General features: G+C 50.7%; 1 protein-coding gene, 1 long non-coding RNA gene and 1 other non-coding gene across 40 annotated transcripts in view; 1 reads left to right on the top strand and 2 right to left on the bottom strand.

Moving 5' to 3' along the window:
• Positions 1-26878, bottom strand: part of CSF2RA (colony stimulating factor 2 receptor subunit alpha) — a 56405-nt gene that overhangs the window by 26866 nt on the left and 2661 nt on the right. For 10 of the 38 annotated variants that reach the window (NR_027760.3, NM_001379163.1, NM_001379164.1 and 7 more), the window contains exons 2-9: positions 23511-23598; positions 15574-15675; positions 12433-12575; positions 9711-9834; positions 9465-9594; positions 7844-8016; positions 3892-4025; positions 2897-2926 (exon numbers count right to left, since the gene is read on the bottom strand). Coding sequence is in view for 37 of the 38 variants with exons in the window: in NM_001379163.1 (NP_001366092.1) it covers positions 2897-2926; positions 3892-4025; positions 7844-8016; positions 9465-9594; positions 9711-9834; positions 12433-12575; positions 15574-15649 (810 nt within the window). In the remaining variant the exon portion in view is untranslated. Of the gene's footprint in view, positions 1-2896; positions 2927-3891; positions 4026-7843; positions 8017-9464; positions 9595-9710; positions 9835-12432; positions 12576-15310; positions 15551-15573; positions 15676-15792; positions 16118-23510; positions 23599-25391; positions 25514-26878 lie in introns of those variants that run through there. The other 28 variants (NM_001379162.1, XM_011545628.3, XM_011545620.3 and 25 more) reach the window with 11 other exon arrangements.
• Positions 4355-4807, top strand: LOC124905238 (uncharacterized). Its single transcript, XR_007068468.1, has 3 exons — positions 4355-4424; positions 4468-4510; positions 4771-4807. It is a non-coding gene; the product is annotated as an uncharacterized LOC124905238 (long non-coding RNA).
• Positions 4361-4435, bottom strand: MIR3690 (microRNA 3690). The gene has a single exon (NR_037461.1). It is a non-coding gene; the product is annotated as a microRNA 3690 (primary transcript).

Here is a 26878-nt window from a genome sequence, read left to right as displayed (position 1 = left end):
TGTAGGGGTCGTGAGTAGGGGACTGTAGGGTTCCGCCAGGGGTCATGGGTAGGAGAGTGTAGGGGTCGTGAGTAGGGGACTGTAGGGTTCCACCAGAGGTCATGGGTAGGAGAGTGTAGGGGTCGTGAGTAGGGGACTGTAGGGTTCCACCAGGGGTCATGGGTAGGAGAGTGTAGGGGTCGTGAGTAGGGGACTGTAGGGTTCCACCAGAGGTCATGGGTAGGGGACTGTAGGGTTCCACCGGGGGTTGTGAGTAGGGGATTGTAGGGTCACACTACGGCTCCTGAATAGGGGACTGTAGGGTTACTCCAGGGGTCATGAGTAGGAGACTGTAGGGGTCGTGAGTAGGGGACTGTAGGGTTCTGCCAGGGGTCATGGGTAGGAGAGTGTAGGGGTCGTGAGTAGGGGACTGTAGGGTTCTGCCAGGGGTCATGGGTAGGAGACTGTAGGGGTCGTGAGTAGGGGACTGTAGGGTTCCGCCAGGGGTCATGGGTAGGAGAGTGTAGGGGTCGTGAGTAGGGGACTGTAGGGTTCCACCAGGGGTCATGGGTAGGGGACTGTAGGGTTCCACCGGGGGTTGTGAGTAGGGGATTGTAGGGTCACACTACGGCTCCTGAATAGGGGACTGTAGGGTTACTCCAGGGGTCATGAGTAGGAGACTGTAGGGGTCGTGAGTAGGGGACTGTAGGGTTACTCCAGGGGTCATGAGTAGGAGACTGTAGGGGTCGTGAGTAGGGGACTGTAGGGTTCCTCCAGGGGTCATGGGTAGGAGACTGTAGGGGTCGTGAGTAGGGGACTGTAGGGTTCCGCCAGGGGTCATGGGTAGGAGACTGTAGGGGTCGTGAGTAGGGGACTGTACGGTTCCGCCAGGGGTTATGGGTAGGAGAGTGTAGGGGTCGTGAGTAGGGGACTGTAGGGTTCTGCCAGGGGTCATGGGTAGGAGACTGTACGGGTCGTGAGTAGGGGACTGTAGGGTTCCGCCAGGGGTCATGGGTAGGAGACTGTAGGGGTCGTGAGTAGGGGACTGTACAGTTCCGCCAGGGGTCATGGGTAGGAGACTGTAGGGGTCGTGAGTAGGGGACTGTAGGGTTCCTCCAGGGGTCATGGGTAGGAGACTGTAGGGGTCGTGAGTAGGGGACTGTAGGGTTCCGCCAGGGGTCATGTGTAGGAGACTGTAGGGGTCGTGAGTAGGGGACTGTAGGGTTCCGCCAGGGGTCATGGGTAGGAGAGTGTAGGGGTCGTGAGTAGGGGACTGTAGGGTTCCGCCAGGGGTCATGGGTAGGAAAGTGTAGGGGTCGTGAGTAGGGGACTGTAGGGTTCCGCCAGGGGTCTTGGGTAGGAGAGTGTAGGGGTCGTGAGTAGGGGACTGTACGGTTCCGCCAGGGGTCATGGGTAGGAGACTGTAGGGGTCGTGAGTAGGGGACTGTACGGTTCCGCCAGGGGTCATGGGTAGGAGAGTGTAGGGGTCGTGAGTAGGGGACTGTAGGGTTCTGCCAGGGGTCATGGGTAGGAGACTGTACGGGTCGTGAGTAGGGGACTGTAGGGTTCCGCCAGGGGTCATGGGTAGGAGACTGTAGGGGTCGTGAGTAGGGGACTGTACAGTTCCGCCAGGGGTCATGGGTAGGAGACTGTAGGGGTCGTGAGTAGGGGACTGTAGGGTTCCTCCAGGGGTCATGGGTAGGAGACTGTAGGGGTCGTGAGTAGGGGACTGTAGGGTTCCGCCAGGGGTCATGGGTAGGAGAGTGTAGGGGTCGTGAGTAGGGGACTGTACAGTTCCGCCAGGGGTCATGGGTAGGAGACTGTAGGGGTCGTGAGTAGGGGACTGTACAGTTCCGCCAGGGGTCATGGGTAGGAGACTGTAGGGGTCGTGAGTAGGGGACTGTACGGTTCTGCCAGGGGTCATGGGTAGGAGAGTGTAGGGGTCGTGAGTAGGGGACTGTAGGGTTCTGCCAGGGGTCATGGGTAGGAGACTGTACGGGTCGTGAGTAGGGGACTGTAGGGTTCCGCCAGGGGTCATGGGTAGGAGAGTGTAGGGGTCGTGAGTAGGGGACTGTACAGTTCCGCCAGGGGTCATGGGTAGGAGACTGTAGGGTTACACTAGGGGTTGTGAGTAGGGGAGTGTAGGGTTCCGCCAGAGGTCATGGATAGGGAACTGTATGGTTAGTTACACTAGGTGTAGTGACTAGGGGACTGTAGGGTTACTCCAGGGGTCATGGGTAGGGGACTGTAGGTTTATGCTAGGTGTGGTGAGTAGGGGATTGTAGGGTTATGCCAGGGCTCATGGGTAGGGGACTGTATGGTTACGCTAGGGGTCATGAATAGGGAACTGTAGGCGTCGTGAGTAGGAGACTGTAGGATTACTCCGGGGGTCGTGAGTAGGGGACTGTAGAGTTACACTAGATGTGGTGAGTAGGGGACTGTAGGGTTACGCTGGAGGTCATCGGTAGGGGACTGTAGGGGTCATGAGTAGGGGACTGTAGAGTTACATTAGGTGTGGTGAGTAGGGGACTGTAGGATTAAGCTAGGTGGACGTGGGGCAGGGTCTCTTCCTGTCTACACGGGGTCCAGGTGGTTGTGGGACAAGAGCTCCTCCTGTCTATACTGGGTCTCTGTGGAGGTGGGGCAGGGTCTCCTCCTCCTTACACTAGGTGTGGTGAGTAGGGGACTGTAGGGTTACGCTGGAGGTCGTCAGTAGGGGACTGTAGGGGTCATGAGTAGGGGACTGTAGAGTTACACTAGGTGTGGTGAGTAGGGGACCGTAGGGTTACGCTGGAGGTCGTCGGTAGGGGACTGTAGGGGTCATGAGTAGGGGACTGTAGAGTTACACTAGGTGTGGTGAGTAGGGGACCGTAGGGTTACGCTGAGGGTTGTCAGTAGGGTCTGTGGTTTCACTTACCAGTAGGTTTTCCGTGCCAGGCTGGGTATTCTAGAAACAAAACAAAACACAACACAAGGCTCACTGTTTCCATTTCTAAAACACTGTAGATGGTTCACACAGTGTCTCCCCTGGTGTGGGCACCGAATGGGAAGGAGTCCCTGCGGAGTGGCAGGCAGGTCTCCCTCCACAAACCCCGAATCTACAAGACAGGTAGGATGAGGAGCTGCAAACACAGAAGTCTTCCTGGCCAGATATCTTCCTGTAACCCATCCAGAAAGGTCCCACTGGCCTTGGGGCAGGGTGTTCTCCTGTCGTCCAGGTAGACATGGAGCAGGCTCTCCTTCTTGTCTACACTGGGTCCAGGTGGTTGTGGGACAAGATCTCCTCTTGTCTACACTGGCTCGAGGTGGACATGGGGCAGGGTCTCTTCTTGTCTACACTGGGTCCAGGAGGTTGTGAGACAAGATCTCCTCTTGTCTACACTGGATCGAGGTGGACGTGAGGCAGTCTCTCTCCCTGTCTACACTGGGTCCAGGTAGTTGTGGGACAAGAACTCCTCCTGTCTACACTGGGTCTCCATGGAGGTGGAGCAGGGTCTCCTCCTGTCTACACTGGGTGTAGGTGGAGGTGGGGTCGGGTGTCCTCCTATCTACACTGGGTCCAGGTAGACATGGGGCAGGGTCTCCTTCTGTCTACACTGCGTCCAGCTGGAGGTGGAGCAGAGGCTCTCCTTGCTTGTGGCATCGTCCCCCACACCTCCCGGTCCACTTCCTGGTTCCATGGTTGCAGGATCATCCTTGTCCACCCTCCCTGCAACCTCTTTCAAGGTGGCTCCACAGGCCACAGACCCTTCACCTCTTCCTCCGCTACCCGAAGTGCGTTCACCCCAGAGTCACCGCTCACCACCCACGCATCCTTCCCCCAGGCCACTTCCCCGGGATTCCCAGGCTCCTGTGCGGGCGTGTCCCGTACGCCTCCCTCCTGGTGCCCAGCCCCGGGGAGCTCTCACCGACCTTTCTGTGGACGTCCAGCTGGTACTGAAAGTCCAGGTACGACAGCTTCTGATAGGTCCTGGGCTGTTTCCACCGTACGAGGCAGTGCGTCGTGTTGCAACGTACGGTGACATTGCTGGGAGGGTTGAATCGTTCTGTAACGAGGGCGCAGGACACACCCCTGAACCCGAGAGGTCCTGTCTACACTGGGTCCAGGTGGAGGTGGTGCAGAGTCTCCTCCTGTCTACACTGGGTCCAGGTGGAGGTGGAGTAGGTCCTGTCTACACTGGGTCCAGGTGGAGGTGGAGTAGGGACACCTCTTTGACTACACTGGGTCCAGGTGGAGATGGGGCAGGGTCTCCTCCTGTCTACACTGGGTCCAGGTAGAGGTGGGGCAGGGTCTCCTCCTGTCTACACTCGGTCCAGGTGGAGGTGGTGCAGTCTTCTCCTGTCTACACTGGGTCCAGGTGGAGGTGGGGCAGGGTCTCCTCCCATCTACACTGGGTCCAGGTAGATATGGAGTAGAAACACCTCTTTGTCTACGCTGGGTCCAGGTGGAGATGGGGCAGAGTCTTCTCCTGTCTACACTGGGTCCAGGTGGAGGTGGGGCAGGGTCTCCTCCTGTCTACACTGGGTCCAGGTGGAGGTGGTGCAGAGTCTTCTCCTGTCTACACTGGGTCCAGGTGGAGGTGGGGCAGGGTCTCCTCCTGTCTACACTCGGTCCAGGTGGATGTGGACTAGGGACACCTCTTTGTCTACACTGGGTCCAGGTGGAGATGGGGCAGGGTCTCCTCCCATCTACACTGGGTCCAGGTAGATATGGAGTAGAAACACCTCTTTGTCTACGCTGGGTCCAGGTGGAGGTGGGGCAGGGTCTCCTCCTGTCTACACTGGGTCCAGGTAAATGTGGAGTAGGGACACCTCTTTGTCTACTCTGTGTAGGGAAAAGAAAGAGAGATCAGGGGGCTGGGCGCGGTGGCTCACGCCTGTAATCCCAGCACTTTGGGAGGCCGAGGCGGGAGGATCACGAGGTCAGGAGGTCGAGACCATCCTGGCTAACACGGTGAAACCCCGTCTCTACTAAAAATCCAAAAAAATTAGCCGGGCGTGGTGGCGGGTGCCTGTAGTCCCAGCTACTCGGGAGGCTGAGGCAGGAGAATGGCGTGAACCCGGGAGGCGGAGGTTGCAGTGAGCCGAGATCCCGCCACTGCCCTCCAGCCTGGGTGGGCGACAGAGTGAGACTCTGTCTCAGAAAAACAAACAAACAAACAAAAAGAAAGATCAGACTGTTACTGTGTCTATGTAGAAAGGAAGGTAAGAAACTCCATTGTGATCTGTATGTTGAACCACTGTTTTGCCTTGAGATGCTGTTAAGCTGTAACTGTAGCCCCAACACTGTGCTCACAGAAACATGTGCTGTGTCTTGTTAACAATAGGTTTGCAGGCAGCATGCTTGGTAAAAGTCATCGCCATTCTCCATTCTCTATTAACCAGGGACACCATGCACTGCGGAAAGCCGCAGGGACCTCTGCCCGAGAGAGCCCGGGTATTGTCTGAGGGTTCCCCCCACTGAGACAGTCTGAGATATGGCCTCGTGGGAAGGGAAAAAGACCTGACCGTCCCCCAGCCCGACATCCATAAAGGGTCTGTGCCGAGGAGGAAGTCCTCTCGCGGTTGAGATAAGAGGAAGCCCTCCGTCTCCTGCCTGCCCCTGGGAATGGAATGTCTCCGTGTAAAACCCGATCGTACATTCGTTCTATTCTGAGACAGGAGAAAACCGCCCTGTGGCTGGAGGCGAGATATGCTGGTGGCAATACTGCTCTGTGACTCTTTGCTACACTGATGTTTGTGTGGAGAGAAGCATAAATCTGGCCTGCGTGTGCATCCAGGCATAGTAGCTTCCCTTGAACTTATTTGTGACACAGATTCCTTTGCTCATATGTCTTCCTGCTGACCTTCTCCCCACTATCACCCTGTCCTCCTGCCACATTCCCCTTGCCAAGATAGTGAAAATAGTAAGCAATAAATACTGAGAGAACTCAGAGACCGGTGCAGGTCCTCCGTATGCTGAGCGCCGGTCCCCTGGGCTCACTGTTCTTTCTCTATACTTTGTCTCTGTGTCTTATTTCTTTTCTCAGTCTCTCGTCCCACCTGACGAGAAATACCCACATGTGTGGAAGGGCTGGTCGCCTTCACACTGGGTCCAGGTAGAGGTGGGGCAGGGTCTCCTCCTGTCTACACTGTGTCCACGTAAATGTGGAGTAGGGACACCTCTTTGTCTACACTGGGTCCAGGTGGAGGTGGTGCAGTCTCCTCCTGTCTACACTGGGTCCAGGTGGACGTGGAGTAGGGACACCTCTTTGTCTACACTGGGTCCAGGTGGAGGTGGTGCAGGGTCTCCTGTCTACACTGGGTCCAAGTGGAGGTGGTGCAGTCTCCTCCTGTCTACACTGTGTCCAGGTAAATGTGGAGTAGGGACACCTCTTTGTCTACACTGGGTCCAGGTGGAGGTGGTGCAGGGTCTCCTTCTGTCTACACTGGGTAAAGTGGAGGTGGTACAGGGTCTCCTCCTGTCTACACTGGGTCCAGGTGGACGTGGAGTAGGGACATCTCTTTGACTACACTGGGTCCAGGTGGAGGTGGTGCAGTCTCCTCCTGTCTACACTGGATCCAGGTGGACGTGGAGTAGGGACACCTCTTTGTCTACACTGGGTCCAGGTGGAGGTGGTACAGGGTCTCCTCCTGTCTACACTGGGTCCAAGTGGAGGTGGGGCAGCTACCATGTACAGGAGAGATACCCACTGGGGCAGGGGTTCCAGGGTGGGAGGTGGGGATGGGCTTGGTGGGCAGGAGTCACACTTCTGTGAGAGTCCTAAGCCTGAAGAGGCTGGGAACGTCCAACGGGATGAAGGAGTCCACGGGTGGGATGCGGTGGGCTTGGGAAGAGGAGAGCGTGTGGGCATATGGGACTGGCTCCAAGAGGCCAGCCAGGAGCAGGGCACTGGGACACGAAGAGGTGCTGGTGAGGAAGAAATGAAGAAAAAGAGGAAGGAAGGAGGAAATGAGTGAAGGAGAAGGAAGGAGAGGAAGAAGGAAGGAATGAAGAAGGGAGGGAGAGAGGGAGGGAGGGAAGGAAGAAGGGAGGGAAGGAGGAAGGAAGGAAGGAAAGGAGGGAGGGAGGGAAGGAAGGAAGGAAGGAAGAAAAAAGAAGAAAGGCAGAAAGGCAGGGAGGAAGGAAAGAAGGAAGGAGGTAAAGAGGGAGGTCAGGTGCAGTGGCTGACGCCTGTAATCCCAGCACTTTGGGAGGCTGAGGCAGGTGGATCATCTGAGGTCAGGAGTTCGAGACTAGCCCGGCCAAGATGGTGAAACACTGCCTCTACTAAAAATACAAAAATTAGCCGAGCGTGGTGGTGTGCACCTGTAATCCAAGCTACTAAGGAGACTAAGACAGAAGAATCGCTTGAACCTGGGAGGCAGAGGTTGCAGTGAGCTGAGATTGCACCACTGCACTCCAGCCTGGGTGACAGAGCGAGACTCTATCTCAAAAAAAGGAAAGTTAAATCAGCTCAGTTCTAATTTGTTACAGCACCAAAGTTACACAGATTTTTGTTTGTTTGTTTTTGAGACAGAGTCTTGCTCTGTCGCTCAAGCTGGAGTGCAGTGGCACAATCTCACCTCATTGCAACGTCCGCCTCCTAGGTTTGAGTGATTCTCCTCAGCCTTCCGAGTAGCTGGGATTACAGGCACGCGCCACCATGCCCGGCTAATTTTTGTATTTTTAGTAGAGATGGGGTTTCCCCATGTTGGTCAGGCTGGTTTTGAACACCCGATCTCAGGTGATCGGCCCGCCTCGGCCTCCCAAAGTGCTGAGATTACAGGTGTGAGACACCGCACGTGGCCTCAGTTACACAGATTTTAAGGCAAATTCCATTTCACCTATAAACAATAGGAAAATCATATGTGTTATTCTCACCTATTTTCTTTGTGTCCAAAAGTGAATCAAAGAATTGGATGCCAATTTCTCGGCTGGTTCCGTTAACCAGAAAGTAATTGCGAGACGTTAATCCTGACAGGTTATCCAGGTGACATCCCACATGGGTTCCTGAGTCTTGTATGTAATAAGGACACCGGATCTCCCTCCTTCTCCTGAAAGATTAGAAAGTGCTCAGAGAGCAATCAGGAAAACAAAACAAAACACAAAAACACAAAACAAAACAAAAACAAACACAAAACAAAACACAAAAACACAAAACACAAAAACACAAAACAAAAACACAAAACAAAAAAAACCCACAAAAACACAAAACACAAAACAAAAACACAAAACAAAACGAAAACAAACACAAAACAAAACATAAAAACACAAAACACAAAACAAAAACAAACACAAAACAAAACACAAAAACACAAATCAAAAACACAAAACAAAACAAAAACACAAAACAAAACAAAACACAAAAACACAAAACAAAACACAAAACACAAAACAAAAACACAAAAACACAAAACAAAACAAAAACAAACACAAAACAAAACACAAAAACACAAAACAAAACAAAACACAAAAACAAAACACAAAAACACAAAACAAAACAAAACACAAAAACACAAAACACAAAACAAAAACACAAAAACACAAAACAAAACAAAAACAAACACAAAACAAAACAAAACACAAAAACACAAAACAAAACAAAATGAAACAAAAACACAAAAACACAAAACAAAAACAAACACAAAAGAAAACCACAAAACAAAAACACCAAAACACAAACAAAAAAACACAAAACAAAAACAAACACAACACAAAACAAAAACCACAAAACAAAACAAAAACAAACACAAAACAAAACACAAAACAAAACAAAAACAAACACAAAAAACAAAAACACAAAAACACAAAACACCACAAAAACGTGAAACCAAAAAAACACAAAAACAAAAGAAAAACACAGAAACACAAAACAAAACAAGAACACAAAAACACAAGGCAAAACAAAAAGAAACACAAAACAAAACAAAAAACACAAAACAAAACAACAACCAAAAAAACAGGCCAGGTGCAGTGGCTCACGCCTGTAATCCCAGCACTTTGGGGAGGTTGAGGCAGGCAGATCACTTGAGGTCAGGAGTTGGAGACCAGCCTGGCCAGCATGGTGAAACCCTGTCTCTACTAAAAATACAAAAATTAGACAGGTGTGGTGGAGTGCACCTGTAGTCCCAGCTACTTGGGAGGCTGAGGCAGGAGAATCACTTGAACCCTGGAGGGAGGCGCAGGTTGCAGGGAGCTGAGATCACATCACTACACTCCAGCCTGGGCGACAGAGCAAGACTCTGTCTCTAAATACATAGATGTGGCCTGGTGTGGTGGCGGGCGCCTGTAATCCCAGCTACCTGGGAAGCTGAGGCAGGAAAATTGCTTGAACCCAGGAGGTCGAGGTTGCAGTGAGCCGAGGTGGCACCATTGCATTGCAGCCTGGGCAACAGAGCAAGACCATGTCTTAAAAAAAGAAAAAGGAAAAAAAGAAAACCAGCATGATTTTTTCTCCCATCCCTGCATTCCTCATAATTCTTCACATGAGGTGAACACTTACTTTGAGTTTCGTATGTACAAAAAATACTGGACGTCACGGGGGGCCGTCGGACCCCTCGCCCAGGTACAGTTCATTAAATCCGCATTGTAGATGAAACAGGAGAAATTCTGAGCAGCGGTACCCTCCCTTCCTGGGAAGAGGTAGAAACAAAATAATTTTCACTCCGAAGTTCAACGGGATGTACTTTGATGCTGGCGGGGTGGTGGGGCCAGTGCTGTAAACGGATCCCTGAGCTGTCTTGCTTACCTGAATTTGGATAAAGCAGTTTCTGTTGAAATCCTCTTTGACTAGTATTCACGTGAACCTCAAATGTGACTCCTTCATGCAGACAAATTTCACGAAATGTGCACGAACATTCGTTGTTACTGAGCTGAAGAATTGCAACCAGACAGAGCCGATTAGGAAACAACCTTCTGTCTCCTACAGTCTCCCAGGCTGGAGTGCAGTGGCGTGATCTCGGCTCACTACAACCTCCGCCTTCCAGGTTCAAGCAATTCTCCCGCCTCAGCCTCCCGAGTAGCTCGGATTACAGACACCCGCCACCACACCCTGCTAATTTGTGTATTTGTAGTAGAGACAGGGTTTCACCATGTTGGCCAGGCTGGTCTCAAACTCCTGACCTCAGGTGATCCACCCGCCTCGGCCTCCCAAAGTGCTGGGATTACAGGCGTGAGCCACCATGCCCGGCCATGGTATTGGTTTTTACCTGGATTTGGCGACACGCACCTGCCTCCCTTTGTGAAATCATCCCCCTAAGCTTCCTCCGAGGGCTCTGAGTGGATACGCTGAATACCAGCTTGCAGGTGAAAACTCAATCTTATACTCTAGCAGTGCTGAAAGTACCAGACTAGAGGCCAGGTGCCGTGGCTCACACCTGTAATCCCAGCACTCTGGGAGGCCAAGGCGGGTGGATCACTTGAGGTCAGGAGTTCAAGACCAGCCTGGCCAACATGGTGAAACCCCGTCTCTACTAAAAATACAAAAATTAGCCAGGTGTGGTGGCAGGCACCTGTAATCCCTGCTACTCGGGAGGCTGAGGCAGGAGACTCTCTTGAACCCAGGAGGCACAGGTTGCAGTGAGCTGAGATCACGCCAGTGCACTCCAGCCTGGGTGACAGACAGAGACTCCATCCCCCCAAAAAAAGGGTCGGACATAGTGGCTCACACCTGTAATGCCAGCACTCTGGGAGGCCGAGGCGGGTGGATCACTTGAGGTCAGGAGTTCAAGATCAGCCTGGCCAACATGGTGAAACCCCGTCTCTACTAAAAATACAAAAATTAGCCAGGTGTGGTGGTGGGCACCTGTAATCCCAGCTACTCAGGAGGCTGAGGCAGGAGAATCTCTTGAACCCAGGAGGCACAGGTTGCAGGGAGCTGAGATCACGCCAGTGCACTCCAGCCTGGGCGACAGAGCGAGACTCCATCCCAAAAAATAAAGGTCGGACACGGTGGCTCACACCTGTAATGCCAGCACTTTGGGAGGCCAAGGAGGGTGGATCACGAGGTCAGGAGTTGGAGACCAGCCTGGCCAACATGGTGAAACCCCGTCTCTACTAAAAATACAAAAATTAGCCAGGCGTGGTGGCACGCACCTGTAATCCCAGCTACTCAGGAGGCTGAGATAGGAGAATCGCTTGAACCCAGGAGGTGGAGGTTGCAGTGAGCCAAGATCACACCAGTGTACTCCAGCCTGGGCAACAAGAGGGAAACTCCATCTCAAAAAAAAAAAAAAAAAAAAAAAGTATGTCATCTGGGGTAACATAGCAAGACCACCCATCCCTCCGTGTAGCATCTACCTATAGAATTGATTATCAATCTTCCAATCATCTATTATCACCTATCAGTCAATAAATCATCTATCACCTATCTATCGATCATCCATATTTCTCTCTTCCTCTCCCTCCTCCTTCTATCCTTTCTCTGTGTTTCTCCCTCCTTCCCTCCCCTCTCCCCGCTCTTCTGTCTCTGTCTCCTGTGTTCCAAAAACCCTGACCTTAATCCCTTGGGGAACCAGGACGGTGACACACTGACAACGTGACTGACACTTTACTTTTCTCCGTCCTGCTTCCACCACAGACCCAGGGGCACATCCAACTGCATTTGCCAGGATTTCTCTTCTCTTGGGGTAAAATACGGTAACATAGGCTCTGCCTCAGGGAATCAGGCTCTGGTACACATTGTGGACATGAGCTAACAGCACTTTCCCGGTTCCCGTGAGATTATGGCTGTGACATTTCTCCAAATACCACACTTGTGTTGTTTGTGTCTGTGGCCCTCTCGCTTTTATTTAATTGAATTTATTATTTTTTTTTTTTTTTGGAGACAGAGTTTTGCTCTTGTTGCCCAGGCTGGAGTGCAATGGCACCATCTCGGCTCACCGCAACCTCCGCCTCCCGAGTTTCAGTAATTCTCCTGCCTCAGCCTCCCGAGTAGCTGGGATTACAGATGCCTGCCACCATGCCCGACTAATTTTTGTATTTTTAGTAGAGATGGGGTTTCACCATGTTGGTCAGCCTGGTCTTGAACTCCTGACCTCAGGTGATCCACCTGCCTCGGCCTCCCAGAGTGCTGGGATGACAAGCGTGAGCCACCACACCCGGCCTTATTGCATTTTATGAGACAGAGTCTCGCTCTGTCACCCAGGCTGGAGTGCAATGGCACGAGCTCGACTCACTGCAACTTCCACCTCCCGGGTTCGAGTAATTCTTCTGCCCTCAGCCTCCTGAGTAGCTGGGACTACAGGCATGCACCAGCACGCCCGGCTAATTTTGTATTTGTAGTAGAGACGGGGTTTCACCATGTTGGTCAGGCTGGTCTTGAACTCCCGACCTCAGGTGATCCGCCCACCTCAGCCTCCCAAAGTGCTGGGATGACAGGCGTGAGCCGCCGCGCCCAGCCGGCCCTGTTGCTTTTAACTCAGAAAGGGGTGTGTAAAGGACAGGGGTTGAGAATGGGAAATTCGTCTCACCCTGGGTTCCACGACTCTGTTCTTCTTGTCAGTTAAGAAACACTTGCTGAAGGTTGTGTTTTCTTGGCAGTCCCAGCTTAAATTCATCGTCCTGGAGTCAAACCTCACATTGAGACTAGAGGCTGGTGCCACTGTTCGCAGATCTGCAAGGAGCGGGCACTGGGTTCAGAATTTCCTCTTTTCTTTTCCTTTTTTTTTTTTTTTTTTTTTTTTTTTTTTGAGACGGAGTCTGGCTTTGTCTCCCAGGCTGGAGTGCAGTGCTGTGATCTCAGGTCACTGCAAGCTGCAAGCTCCACCACCCGGGTTCAAATGATTCTCCTGCCTCAGCCTCCCGAGTAGCTGGGATGACAGGCGCCGACCACCATGCCCAGCTAATTTTTGTATTTTTAGTAGAGATGGGGGTTTCACCATGTTGGTCAGGCTGGTCTCGAACTGCCGACCTCAGGTGATCCGCCTGCCTCAGCCTCCCGAAGTGCTGGGATAACAGGCGTGAGCCACCGTGCCCGGCCGGCCCTGTTTTCTGTCCTCCCACCCGGCTCTGGGAGGTGAAGTTCAGGGCTGAAGCCTGCTGATTTTCCTCTGTCACCCACATGGCCCCAGGACGTCCCACATCCTCAGGTATCTGTTCCTCCCTTGTCCATCTTCCCTCCTTTTCACAGCCCCCTGGCTGTTTCTGAAAAAGGAGATTTCTACTGCAGAAATATTCAAAAATCATCTGAAGACTGGGGGTGGTGGCTCACGCCTCTAATCCCAGCACCTTGGGAGGCTGAGGCAAAAAGCTGACTTGAGCCCAGTAGGTTCAGATCCCGCCTGGGCAACATAGCAAGATCGCATCTCTTTAAAAAAAATTTTTTTTTAAAAATTTAAATTAGGCAGGTGTGATGGTGCACATCTGTGGTCCCAGCTTGCTCCTTCTCCACATGGAGATGTTTACTGCAGAAATCATCAAAAACTGGCCAGGCGCGGTGGCTCATGCCTGCAATCCCAGCACTTTGGTAGGCTGAGGTGGGCGGATCACCTGAGGTCAGCAGTTCGAGACCAGCCTGGCCAATGTGGTGAAACCCTGTCTCTACTAAAAATACAAAAAAATTAGGTGGACATGGTGGCGGGTACCTGTAATCCCAGCTACTCAGGAGGCTGAGGCAGGAGAATCGGTTGAACCCGGGAGGTGGAGGTTGCAATGAGCCGAGATCGCGCCACTGCACTCCAGCCTGGGAGACAGAGTAAGACTCCATCTCAAAAAAAAAAAAAAAAAAAAAATCAAAAACTAGTCTTGGCAACATAGCAAGATCTCGTCTATAAAATTTAAAAAAAAAAAAATTTAAATTAGCTTGGCATGGTGGTGTATTTCTGCAGTCCCAGCTACTTGGGAGGCTGGAGTGGGAGGATACTTGATCCCAGAAAGCTGAGGCTGCAGTGAGCCGAGATCGCGCCACTGCACTCCAGCCTGGGTGACAGAGTAAGACTCCATCTCAAAAAAAAAAAAAAATCAAAAACTAGTCTTGGCAACATAGCAAGATCTCCTCTATAAAATTAAAAAAAAAATTTAAATTAGCTTGGCATGGTGGTGTATTTCTGCAGTCCCAGCTACTTGGGAGGCTGGAGTGGGAGGATACTTGATCCCAGAAAGCTGAGGCTGCAGTGAGCCGAGATCACGCCACTGCACTCCAGCCTGGGAGACAGAGCGAGATCCTGTCTCAAAAAAAAAAAAAAAAAAAAAAAAAAGAGAGACAGAGAAAGAAAACCGCTTGAATGAGAACAGGCAAAGGCTCTTTATCCAGAGTGATGTGGCTCTGAACACACTTCCCAAATTATGGAACCTTGGCAGTTTAATATAAAGCTGAAGGAATTTGAGAAAATTGCAGAAACAGAAAGCTGTCTTTGTCTGTCTTCCCTGAACCAGGTCACAAAAACCTGGAAATACTTTCCTGAAGCAGAGGCCCTGACACCCTCAGTCAAGAGGGTCCCTCCCGGAAACGCAAATCAAAACCACAATGAGCTATCATTCCACGCCAGTCACAATGGCTGCTATTAAGAAGTCAACAAACAAGAGGCTGGGTGTGGCGGCTCATAGCTGTAATCCTAGCACTTTGGGAGGCCGAGGCACGGGATCACCTGAGGCCAGGAGATTGAGACCAGCCTGGCCAACATGACAAAACCCCATCTCTACTAAAAATACAAAAAAATTAGCTGGGCCTGGTGGCAGGCGCCTGTAATCCCAGCTACTCGGGAGGCTGAGGCAGGAGAATCGCTTGAACCCGGGAGGCTGAGTTTGCAGTGAGCTGAGATTGAGCCATTGCACTCCAGCCTGGGCAACAAGAGGGAGACTCTGAAAAGAAAGAAAAAGAAAGAAGGAAAGAAAGAAAGAAAGAAAGAAGAAAGAGGAAGAAAGAAACAAAGAAGGAGAAAAAAAAAGGAGAAAGAAAGAAAGAAAGAGAGAGAGAGAGGGAGGGAGGGAGGGAAGGAAGGAAAGAAAGAAAAACAATGGAAGGAAGAAAGAGAGAGAGGGAAGGAGGGAAGGAAGAAAGAGAAAGAAAGAAGGGAGGGACGGAAGAAGGAAGGAAAGAAGGAAACAATGGAAGGAAGAAAGAGAGAAAGGGAAGGAGGGAAGGAAGGAAGAGAAAGAAAGAGAAGAAATGAATCAGGAGGGAGAGAAGGATGGAAGGAAGGAGAGAAGGAAGGATGGAAAGAGGGAGGGCAGGAGGAAGAGAAGGAAGCAAGGGAGGGAAGGAAGGAAGGAAGGAAGGAAGGAACGAAGGAAGGAACGAAGGAAGGAAGGAAGGAAGGAAGGAAGGAACGAAGGAACGAAGGAACGAAGGAAGGAAGGAACACTTTGGCCCCATGCAGACATGGGTCCTCATCCTGGCCCCATCACTACCTGGATGGTCGTTGGGTTAAACTGTGGAGGTATCTGAGCCTCCGTTTTCTCATCTGTAGAATGGGTGGATGGGAATTAACAGCAGAAAAGGAGGTGAGAACAAGAGGAGCTCTGAGCTTCTGGTGGGTTGGCTGGTGCTTATTGGGTCCCTCATAAACATTAGAGATGAAATGCAGATGGACCCAGGTATCCAGATGGGTCTCCAGATGCAGGACATCTAAACAGGGGCCGCGGAGAAGGTTCAGCCAGGTTTCCATACTTACCCGATTTCTCTGGGATCAGGAGGAATGCTGGGTGTGGTAACTCACAGAGCAGAAGGCTTGTCACCAGGAGAAGCATGGTGCTGGTCAGAGAGAAGGGAAGAGCTGCAGGAGAGAAAATATCACACAGTGAGAAGGTTGCCTCTCCCAGGACATTCCTGGCAGGGGACCCCAGGGAGGTGATTTGGGGAAACAAACCCAGGATGGTGGTCAGCCGCTGACCTGGTCAAATGAGGGGTCATGGCCAGCTGGGAAGGTCTGCAGGGCCATTATTCTGTCTCCCACATGGGATTAGGACGTGGACATCTTTGGCATCTCAAGATGGTCAATCTAGAGTCAAGCTTCCATGGTTCATGGGTCATGGCTCAGCTGACCTTCATGAGGGAACCCATAGCTGACACTAAAGGCAGGTTCTAACACACTTCAAGGAAATTGCAGTCACTTTCATTCATTTTTCATAGCTTTTACTTTCTGTTAATAATTAGTGGATTTGGGGAAATAAGATAAACGATGGCTCAGGTTTTCATTTTCATAACTTTTGTTTTGTTTTGCTCTTTTGTACTTTTTTTTTCTTTTTTGAGACAAAGTCACGCTCTGTCACCCAGGCTGGAGTGCAGTGGCGCGATCTCGGCTCACTGCAACCTCCACATCCCAGGTTCACACCATTCTCCTGCCTCAGCTTCCCAAGTAGCTGGGACTACAGGCGCCTGCCACCACACCCAGCTAATTTTTTTTTTTTTTTTTTTTTTTTAGTAGAAACAGGCTTTCACCGTGTTAGCCAGGATGGTCTCCATCTCCTGACCTCGTGATCCACCTGCCTCGGCCTCCCAAAGTGCTGGGATTACAGGCGTGAGCCACCGTGCCCGGCCCTGCTCTTTTATATTTTTTAAAAAATCTTGACTTTTGCAACAGCTATAAAAGGAAAGTGAAAAAAAAAAAAAAAAGAAGAGGAAGAAAAAAAGGGTGAGTACATAAAACGACATGAATGAAGTTTAAATACTTATGACTAAGGGAAAGAATCCACTTTGAGATGGCTGCAGACTGAGTCATTCTAACACTTGGACACTGTGGAAAAGACAAAATCATGGAAACAGTAAAAAGATCCGGAGTTGGTTGGCGTTGGGCAGATGGAGGGATGAATACATGGACCTCAGAGGATGTTTAGGGCAGTGAAACTACTCTTATTTGATACTTCTTTATGCAAAAAAGGAAAAAGAAGGAGGAGGAGGAAAGGTGCAGGAGGAGGAGAAGGAGGAGGAGGAGAAGGAAGAGAAGGAGGAGTAGGAGGAAGAGGAGGAGAAGGAGCAGGAGGAGAAGGAGGAGGAGGAGAAGGAGCAGGAGGAGGAGAAGAAGGAGGAGGAGAAGGAGGAGTAGGAGAAGGCGGAGGAGGAGGAGAGGGAGGAGGAGGAGAAGGAGGAGGAGGAGAAGGAGGAAGAGGAGAAGGAGGAGGAGGAGAAGGAGGAGGAGGAGAAGGAAGAGAAGGAGGAGTAGGAGGAAGAGGAGGAGAAGGAGCAGGAGGAGGAGAAGAAGGAAGAGGAGAAGGAGGAGTAGGAGAAGGAGGAGTAGGAGAAGGAGGAGTAGGAGAAGGAGGAGAAGGAGAAGGAGGAGAAGGAGGAGTAGGAGGAGAAGGGGAGCTGGAGGAGGAGGAGCAGGAGGAGGAGGAGGAGGAGAAGGAGGAGGAGAAGGGGAGCAGGAGGAGAAGGAGGAGGAGGAGAAGGAGGAGGAGAAGGGGAGCAGGAGGAGAATGAGGAGGAGGAGAAGGAGGAGGAGGAGAAGGAGGAGGAGGAGAAGGAGGAGGAGGAGAAGCAGGAGGAGGAGAAGGAGGAGGAGGAGAAGCAGGAGGAGGAGGAGGAGAAGGAGGAGGAGGAGGAGAAGGAGCAGGAGGAGGAGGAGGAGAAGGAGCAGGAGAAGGAGGAGGAGGAGGAGGAGAAGGAGAGGAAGGAGGAGAAAAGAAGCTACTCGGTATGATTCTACAAATGGTGGATCCATGTCAATATACTTCTATCCAAGCCCATAAGGAAGAAGAAGAAAAAGGAGGAGGAGAAGGAGGAGGAAGAAGAAGAAGAAGGGGAAAGAGAAGAAGAAGAAAGAAGAGAAGAAGAAGGAGGAGGAGGAAGAGGAGGAAGAGGAGGAAGGGGGGAGAAGGAGGAGGAAGAAGAGAAGGAGGAGGAGCTACAAACTCAACCAATTGTCAACCAGAAAATGTTTAAATTCATTTATAGCCTGGAAGCCCCCACTTTGAGTTGTCCCGCCTTTATGGACCAAACTAATGTATTTCTTTTCTTCTTCTTCTTTTTTTTTTTTTTTTTTTGAGACGGAGTTTCACTCTTGTCACCCAGGCTGGAGTGCAGTGGTGCAATCTTGGCTCACTGCAACCTCCGCCTCCCGGGTTCAAGCGATTCTCCTGCCTCGGCCTCCCAAGTAGCTGGGATTATAGGCGCCCGCCATTATGCCAGGCTAATTTTGCATTTTTAGTAGAGACGCTGTTTTGCCATGTTGGCCAGGCTGGGCTCGAACTCCTGACCTCAGATGATCTGCCTGCCTCAGCTTCTCAAACTGCTGGAATTACAGGCATGAACCACTGCACCCGGCCTTTGTAGCATCTTTAGTTCAAGCATCTGCACCTGGTGGGACCCATCTGTCCACCCTGAGGTTCCTGCTCCAAACCTCCTCTCTGAAAGATTGCGTCTCTCGGCCGGGCACAGTGGCTCACGCCTGTAATCCCAGCACTTTGGGAGGCCAAGGCAGGCGGATCGCCTGAGGTCAGGAGTTCGGGACCAGCTTGGCTAATACGGTGAAACCTCATCTATACTAGAAATACAAAAATTAGCCGGGTGGGGTGGTGGGTGCCTGTAATCCCAGCTACTCGGGAGGTTGAGGCAGGAGAATCGCTTGAACCCAGGAGGTGGAGGCTGCAGTGAGCCGAGATCGCGCCACTGCCCTCCAGCCTGGGTGACAGAGGGAGACTCTGTCTCAAGGAAAAGCAAACAAACAAAAAAAAAAAACGGTTGTGTCTCTCAGACCGTTCCTCTGCAAGAGGAACCTCGCTTGCTAAGAGGAAGTAAAAGCATGTAGGCCACACCTGTTTCTTCTTCTCCTGCCCCTGCCCCCCAACTCATCTGTAGCCCACATGACAGGGATGTGGCCGCTTCCCCCACTGGACTGTGGCACCCCGCTTCTTGGAGCCTGCTTCTGGGTCTTGCAGGTGTTTCTGGGCACTGGACAGACTCTCCTGTGGCACCCTAGAGATGCATGTTCTGTCTGGGTGGGCCTGACCTTGAGATTCAGATACAACTCCCCAGGTGGTGGTAACAGGTGTAGAAGTCCTGTTCCTTGAGACTGGCCCCCTCTGCTGAGTCACTAAATGTTTGGGATATTTGTGTACTTCTCTTGCACTAGTTATTATTATTATTATTAATTATTATTATTATTTTGTAGACGGTCTTGCTCTGTCGCCCAGGCTGGAGTGCAGTGGTGCCATCTCGGCTCACTGCAACCTCCGTCTCCCAAGTTGAAGCCATTCTACTGCCTCAGCCTCCGAGTAGCTGGGACTACAGGCACGCACCAACACGCCTGGCTAATTTTTGTATTTTTAGTAGAGACGGGGTTTCACCATGTTGGCCAGGCTGGTCTCAAACTCCTGATCTCAAGTAATCCCCCTGCCTCGGCCTCCCAAAGTGATGGGATGACAGGTGTGAGCCACTGTACGTACGGCCTTCTTGGTTGACTTATTTATTTATTTTTTGGAGATGGAGTCTCACTCTGTCGCCCAGGCTGGAGTACAGTGGCGCCATCTCGGCTCACTGCAACCTCTGTCTCCTAGGTTCAAGTGATTCTACTGCCTCAGCCTCCGAGTAGCTGGGACTACAGGCACGCACCAACACGCCTGGCTAATTTTTGTATTTTTAGTAGAGATGGGGTTTCACCATGTTGGCCAGGCTGGTCTCGAACTTCTGACCTCAGGTGATCCACATGCCTTGGGCTCCCAAAGTGCTGGGATTATAGGCATGAGCCACTGCACCCAGCCTCTGGATTACCTAGTCTTTCACTATTTTACTTTCATAATAAACTTGCTTGCCCTGAATTTTTTTTTTTTTTAGACTGAGTCTCATTCTGTCACCCAGGCTGGAGTGCAGTGGTGCCATCTCGGCTCACTGCAACCTCCGTCTCCCAAGTTGAAGCAATTCTACTGCCTCAGCCTCCGAGTAGCTGGGACTACAGGCACGCACCAACACGCCTGGCTAATTTTTGTATTTTTAGTAGAGATGGGGTTTCACCATGTTGGCGAGGCTGGTCTCGAAATCCTGACCTCAGGTGATCCACCTGCCTCGGGCTCCCAAAGTGCTGGGATTATAGGCATGAGCCACTGCACCTGGCCTCTGGAGTAGCTAGTCTTCCACTACTTTACTTTCATAATAAACTTGCTCGCCCTGAAATCTTTTGTTTTTTTGAGACTGAGTCTCATTCTGTCGCCCAGGCTGGAGTGCAGTGGTGCCATCTTGGCTCACTGCAACCTCCGTCTCCCAAGTTGAAGCAATTCTACTGCCTCAGCCTCCAAGTAGCTGGGACTACAGGCACGCACCACCATGCCTGGCTAATTTTTGTATTTTTAGTAGAGATGGGGTTTCACCATGTTGGCGAGGCTGGTCTCGAACTCCTGACCTCAGGTGATCCACCTGCCTCGGGCTCCCAAAGTGCTGGGATTATAGGCATGAGCCACTGCGCCTGGCCTCTGGAGTACCTAGTCTTTCACTATTTTACTTTCATAATAAACTTGCTCGCCCTGAAATTTTTTTTTTTTTTTTTGAGACTGAGTCTCATTCTGTTGCCCAGGCTGGAGTGCAGTGGTGCCATCTCGGCTCACTGCAACCTCCGTCTCCCAAGTTGAAGCAATTCTACTGCCTCAGCCTCCCGAGTAGCTGGGACTACAGGCACGCACCACCATGCCTGGCTAATTTTTGTATTTTTAGTAGAGATGGGGTTTCACCATGTTGGTCAGGCTGGTCTCGAACTCCTGACCTCAGGTGATCTGCCCACCTCCACCTCCCAAAGTGCTGGGATTACAGGCATGAGCCACTGCGCCCGGCCTCTGGAGTAGCTATTCTTTCACTGTTTTACTTTTGTAATAAATTTGCTTTGGCTTTGCACTGCTGACTCACCCCGAATTTTTTTTTTTTTTTTTTTTTTTTGAGATGGACTTACTCTATCGCCCAGGCTGGAGTGTAGTGGCATGATCTCCACTCACTGCAAGCATCGCCTCCCGGGTTCACGCCATTCTCTTGCCTCTGTCTCCCGAGTAGCTGGGACTACAGGCACGCACCACCACACCTGGCTAATTTTTGTATTTTTAGTAGAGATGGGGTTTCACCATGTTGGTCAGGCTGGTCTCGAACTCCTGACCTCGTGATCCGCCCGCCTCTGCCTCCCAAGGTGCTGGGATTACAGGTGTGAGCCACAGCGCCCGGCCGCCCTGAATTCTTTCTTGCGTGAGATCCAAGAACCCCCTCTTGGGGGCTGGATCCGAACCCCTTTCCTGTAACACAAGCACCCTTCGTTTATGCTTTAAGGGAAGCATGAGATGGGGTAGGAAGGGGTTATAATGAGCGACTTCTAAGCTTTCTGTCATTTCTTCACCTCTTTTCCCTGTCTTCTCAGCTACTGCGTAAGCTTTATTTATTTATTTAGAGACGGAGCCTCGCTCTGTCTCCCAGGCTGGAGTGCAGTGGCGTGATCTCAGCTCACTGCAACCTCCACCTGCCAGGTTCAAGTGGTCCTCCTGCCTCAGCCTCTCGAGTAGCTGGGATTACAGGCATGCACCACCACGCCCAGCTAATTTTTGTATTTTTAGTAGAGATAGCATTTCACCATGTTGGCCAGGATGGTCTCGATCTCCTGACCTTGTGATCCACCTGCCTCGGCCTCCCAAAGGGCTGGGATTGCAGGCGTGAGCCACCACACCTGTCTGCTACTGTGTATGCTTTCTAGGAGGCCAGGATATGCCTCCCCAGACAAGACTGTGGGAAATCAGTATATGCCACTTTAAAATACATTTCACCCCAAAATATATTTACTTGACATATTTTGAAATGGTCCTGCAAAACTGTCTGTTGGCTGGCCACAGAGGCTCACGCCTGCAATCCCAGCACTTTGAGAGGCTCAGGTGGGTGGATCACTTGAGGACAGGAGTTCAAGACCAGCCTGGACAATACGGTGAAACCCTCTCTCTACTAAAAATACAAATACTAGCCGGGTGTGATGGCGGGCGCCTGTACTCCCAGCTACTCGCGAGGCTGAGGCAGGAGAATCACTGGAACTCGAAAGGCAGAGGTTGCCGTGAGCCAAGATCATGCCACTGCACTCCAGCCCAGGCAACAGAGCAAGACTCCGTCTCCAAAAATTAAAAATAAATAAATAAATAAATATATAAACAAACATAAAACCAAGCTGCTGGCTGGGTGAGGTGGCTCACGGCTGTAATCCCAGTACTTCTGGAGGCTGAGGCAGGCAGATCATGTGAGGTCAGGAGTTCGAGACCAGCCTGGCCAACATAGTGAAACCCTGTGTCTACTGAAAAACAAAAACAAACAAACAAACAAACAAACAAACAAACAAAATTTAGCCAGGCGTGGTGGCGTACCTCTGTAATGCCAGCTACTTGGGAGGCTGAGGCGGGAGAATTGCTTCAGCTCCGGAGGCAGAGGTTGCAGTGAGCTGAGATCGCTCCACTGCACTCCAGCCTGGGCGACAGAGTGAGACTCTGTCACAAAAAATAAAACAAATAAAATAAAATAGCTGGACGCTGTGGCTTACGCCTGTAATCCCAGCACTTTGGGAGGCCGAGGTGAGCAGATCATGTGAGGTCACAAGTTTGAGACCAGCCTGGCCAACATGGTGAAACCCCGTCGCTACTAAAAATACAAAAATTGGCCGGGCGTGGTGGCGGGTGCCTGTAATCCCAACACTTTGGGAGGCTGAGGCGGGCGGATCACGAAGTCAGGAGATCGAGACCATCCTGGCTAACACGGTGAAACCCCTTCTCTACTAAAAATACAAAAAATTAGCTGGGCATGGTGGTGGGCGCCTGTAGTCCCAGCTACTCGGGAGGCTGAGGCAGGAGAATGGCGTGAACCCGGGAGGCGGAGGTTGCAGTGAGCCGAGATCGCGCCACTGCACTCCAGCCTAACAGACTGAGCAAGGCTTCATCTCAAAATAAATAAATAAATAAATAAAATAAAGTAAAATAAGTAAACAAACAAAAACATATAAAACCAAACTGCCGCTCAACCAGCTTGGATACGTGTTCTCAGGATCTCTTTAGACTATTTTCCCTGGGCCTTCTTGCTCACTCATATTTGGCTCAGAATAAATCTCTTTAAATATTTTGCAGTGTTTGGGACGGACTGTCGCTCTGTTGCCCAGGCTGGAGTGCAGTGGCGCGATCTTGGCTCACTGCAACCTACGCCTCCTGGGTTCAAGCGATTCTCCTGCCTCGGCCTCCGGAGTAGCTGGGACTAGAGGCAACTGCCACTACACCCGGCTAATTTTTGTATTTTTAGCAGAGATGGGGTTTCACCATGTTGGCCAGGCTGGTCTGGAACTCCTGACCTCATGATCCCCCCGCCTCAGCCTCCCACAGTGCTGGGATTACAGGCTTGAGCCACTGCGCCCGGCCGGCTCTTTTTTTTTTTTTTTTTGACAGGTTCATGCGTCTCTTCTGCCTGGAGACCCTTCAGGAGGATGTGCCTTGTCACGCTGCTTCAGGAGGATGTGTACTGTCTCAGAGGGAACGTGACATGTTAAATTTGTCATAGGTCAGACAGTTCCTCATTCAGATTCTTCTGCCCTGAGTTCTCACTTCTATCCTGGTTCATCATTATGGAGCAAAACATTTCAGTTCTTTAGACTTCACTTAAAAAAAAGAAAATCCCCAACCACATTACCGACAGGCCGAAGGAAGCACGTACAGGGTTCTACGCAAACATCGCCGCTTCTCGGATCTGCTGTCTCCACGGATTTTCCTGCTGTAAACTGTGAAAGGTAAATAAGTCTCAGGACCCCAAAATCATGAAAGGTTATAGTGGAAACTGTCTTAGGCAAACCTGCCTCGCATTTTATTCGTAAATAAGGTACTACAAAGGTTTTAAAAATTACATACCAGGGCTGGGCGCCATGGCTCACGCCTATAATCCCAGCACTTTGGGAGGCCGAGGCAGGTGGATCATTTGAGGCCAGGAGTTCGAGACCATCCTGGCCAACATGGTGAAACCCCGTCTCTACTAAAAATACAAAAATTAGCTGGGCGCGGTAGTGGGTGCCTATAATCCCAGCTACTCAGAAGGCTGTGGCAGGAGAATAGCTTGAACACGGGAGGCGGAGGTTACAGTGATAGTGAGCTGAGATTGCACCATTGCACTGCAGCCTGGGTGACAGAACAAGACTGGATCCCCAGCTCCCTCCCCGCCAAAAAAATGTATGAAAGCAAATTGTGCCCTGTGTATCCACAGCACCTGTCATCGCGATTTCCTGAGGCTCTGTCATGGGCAGGCGTCCTTAACCTCGGCAAAATGAACTTTCTAAATGGACTGAGACCTGTCTCAGATACCTCTTTTTTGGTTTACAGGACATTTTGCACTCACGGAAAATTATGCAACATCTTTGCGTTTTGTCTGTACCGCTTATACTTTTTTCTCTTCTTCTTTTTTGTGTTTACAGAATGAGTTTTCTTTCCCCTTTCTGGAAATTTTCGGCTGATCCTAAAATAGAGGCCGCCAAGCTTCCTTCTCAGATTCAAAGCAAGAATGATGGAGAGTGAGGGAAATCATGATATTTTACCCCAACACAGGGCTCCACGGTATAACAAGGATTTTTAATGAAAAACCCTTTCATGCCGGGCGCGGTGACTCACGCCTGTCATCCCAGCACTTCGGGAGGCCGAGGCGGGCAGATCATGAGGCCAGGAGATCGAGACCATCCTGGCAAACACAGTGAAACCCCATCTCTACTAAAAAAAAAAAATACAAAAAAAAAAAAAAAAATTAGCTGGGCGTGGTGGCGGGCGCCTGTAGTCCCAGCTACTCGGGAGACTGAGGCAGGAGAATCACTTGAACCTGGGAAGCAGAGGCTGCAGTGAGCCAAGATTATGCCCCTGTACTCCAGCCGGGAGCAGTGGTTCACGCCTATAATCCCAGCACTTTGGGAGGCCGAGGCGGTTGGATCACCTGAGGTCAGGAGTTCAAGACCAGCCTGGCCATCACAGTGAAACCCCATCTCTACTAAAAAAAAAACAAAAAACAAAAAACAATTATCTGGGCACGATGGCTCATGCATATTACGCCAGCTATTTGGAAGGCTGAGGAGGCAGGAGAATCGCTTGAACCTAGAAGACGGAGGTTGCAGGGAGCCAAGATTGCACCACTGCACTCCAGCCTTGGAAACAGAATGAGACCATCTTAAAAGAAAAAAAAAATACAACTAAGAAACATATTTTGGGGCAACATATGTTGTTTTTTTTCTCTGTCTTGTAACGTTTGCCAGAGTCAGGTTGGAAAGTAAGTCACGATATACAGGGTTCAATAAATCCCATTTGATGAGAATTTATGGTTTGTAGGGCTTGCCTCCTCAGACCTCTTAGATAGGAATTTGGGCAAGATAAAAAAAGTCAGAGGCCCGGTGTGGTGGCTGGTGCCTATAATCCTAGCACTTTGGGAGGCTGAGGCGTGTGGATCACTTGAGGTCAGGAGTTCGAGACCAGCCTGGCCAACCTGGTGAAATGTTGTCTCTACTAAAAACACAAAAATTACTCAGGCAGTAGTGGTACGTGCCTGTAATCTCAGCTACTTGGGAGGCTGAGGCAGGAGAATTGCTTGACCTTGGGAGGTGGAGGCTGTGGTGAGCTGAGATTGTGCCACTGTACTCCAGTCTGGGCGACAAAGTTAGACTCCATCTAAAAAAAAAAAAGAAAAAAAGAAAGAAAAAAAAAAAGAAAAAGAAGAAGCTAGGTGCAGTGGCTCATGCGTATAATCCCAGCACTTTGGGAGGCCGAGGAGGTTGGATCACCTGAGGTCAGGAGTTCAAGACCAGCCTGGCCAACATGGTGAAACCCCGTCTCTACTAAAAATACAAAGAAAATTAGCTGGGCGTAGTGGCGGGTGCCTGTAATCGCAGCTACTCGGGAGGCTGAGGCAGGAAAATCGGGTGAACCCAGGAGGTGGAGGTTGCAGTGAGCTGAGATCGCACCACTGCACTCCAGCCTGGGCGGCAGAGTGAGATGCTGTCTCAAAAAAATAAAATAAAATAAAATAAAATAAAGAAAAAAATCAGAGTTCAGTCCGCAGTAGAAATTATATATTGCTCCTCAATAGAATTCCTCTTTCCCCCCAACCCTATAACCTTTTTTTTTTTGTACCAGGATCCAATCCCCTATCCTTCTGTAGTCTCAATGTGGTGTACTAGCTTCTGAACCTCATTGTGGGGTGGAGTCCTCATTCTGAAGAATCTTGTGTATACACATTCTATAAATGTGTAAATCTGGCTGGGTACAGTGGTTCACGCCTGTAATCCTAGCACACTGGGAGGCCGAGGCAGGCGGATCACCTGAGGTCAGGTGTTCGAGACCAGCCTGACCAATATGGAACAACCCTGTCTCTACTAAAAATAGAAAAATTAGCCAGGCATGGTAGCACACGCCTGTAATCCCAGCTACTGGAGAGGCTGAGGCAGGAGAATCAGTTGAACCTGGAAGGTGGAGGTTGCAGTGAGCCGAGATCATGCCAGTGCACTCCAGCCTCGGTGACAGAGCGAGACTCCGTCTCAAAAAAAAAAAAGAAAAAAAAAGTGCATGTCTTTTCTCTTATTAATCAATCTGCCTCATGTCTGTCATCTACAGCAAACCTACAGGGGACCAAGAGCTTTCAGCCCTCGAGAAGAGCTTCTCGAGTTTAAACCAAAAATCTAAAGAGTGAAATCCGGCCGGGCTCCGTGGTTCATGTCTGTAATCCCAGCCCTTTGGGAGGTCAAGGTGAGCGGATCATTTGAAGTCAGGAGTTCCAGACCAGCCTGGCCAACATGGTGAAACACCATCCCTACTAAAAATACAAAAATTAGCCGGGCATGGTAGCACACACCTGTAATCCCAGCTACCCAGGAGGCTGAGGCAGGAGAATCACTTGAACCCGGGAGGCGGAGGTTACAGTGAGCCGAGATCGCACCACTGCACTCCAGCCTGGGCAACAGAGCAAGATACTGTCTCCAAAAAAATAAATAAATAAATTCAAAAATTAGCTGGGCATGGTGGCACGTGCCTGTAATC

The sequence above is a fragment of the Homo sapiens genome, chromosome Y, assembly GCF_000001405.40.
Source record: "Homo sapiens chromosome Y, GRCh38.p14 Primary Assembly".
In the NCBI taxonomy this organism is placed as follows: Eukaryota; Metazoa; Chordata; class Mammalia; order Primates; family Hominidae; genus Homo; species Homo sapiens.
This window is presented reverse-complemented; position numbering and strand designations above follow the sequence as displayed.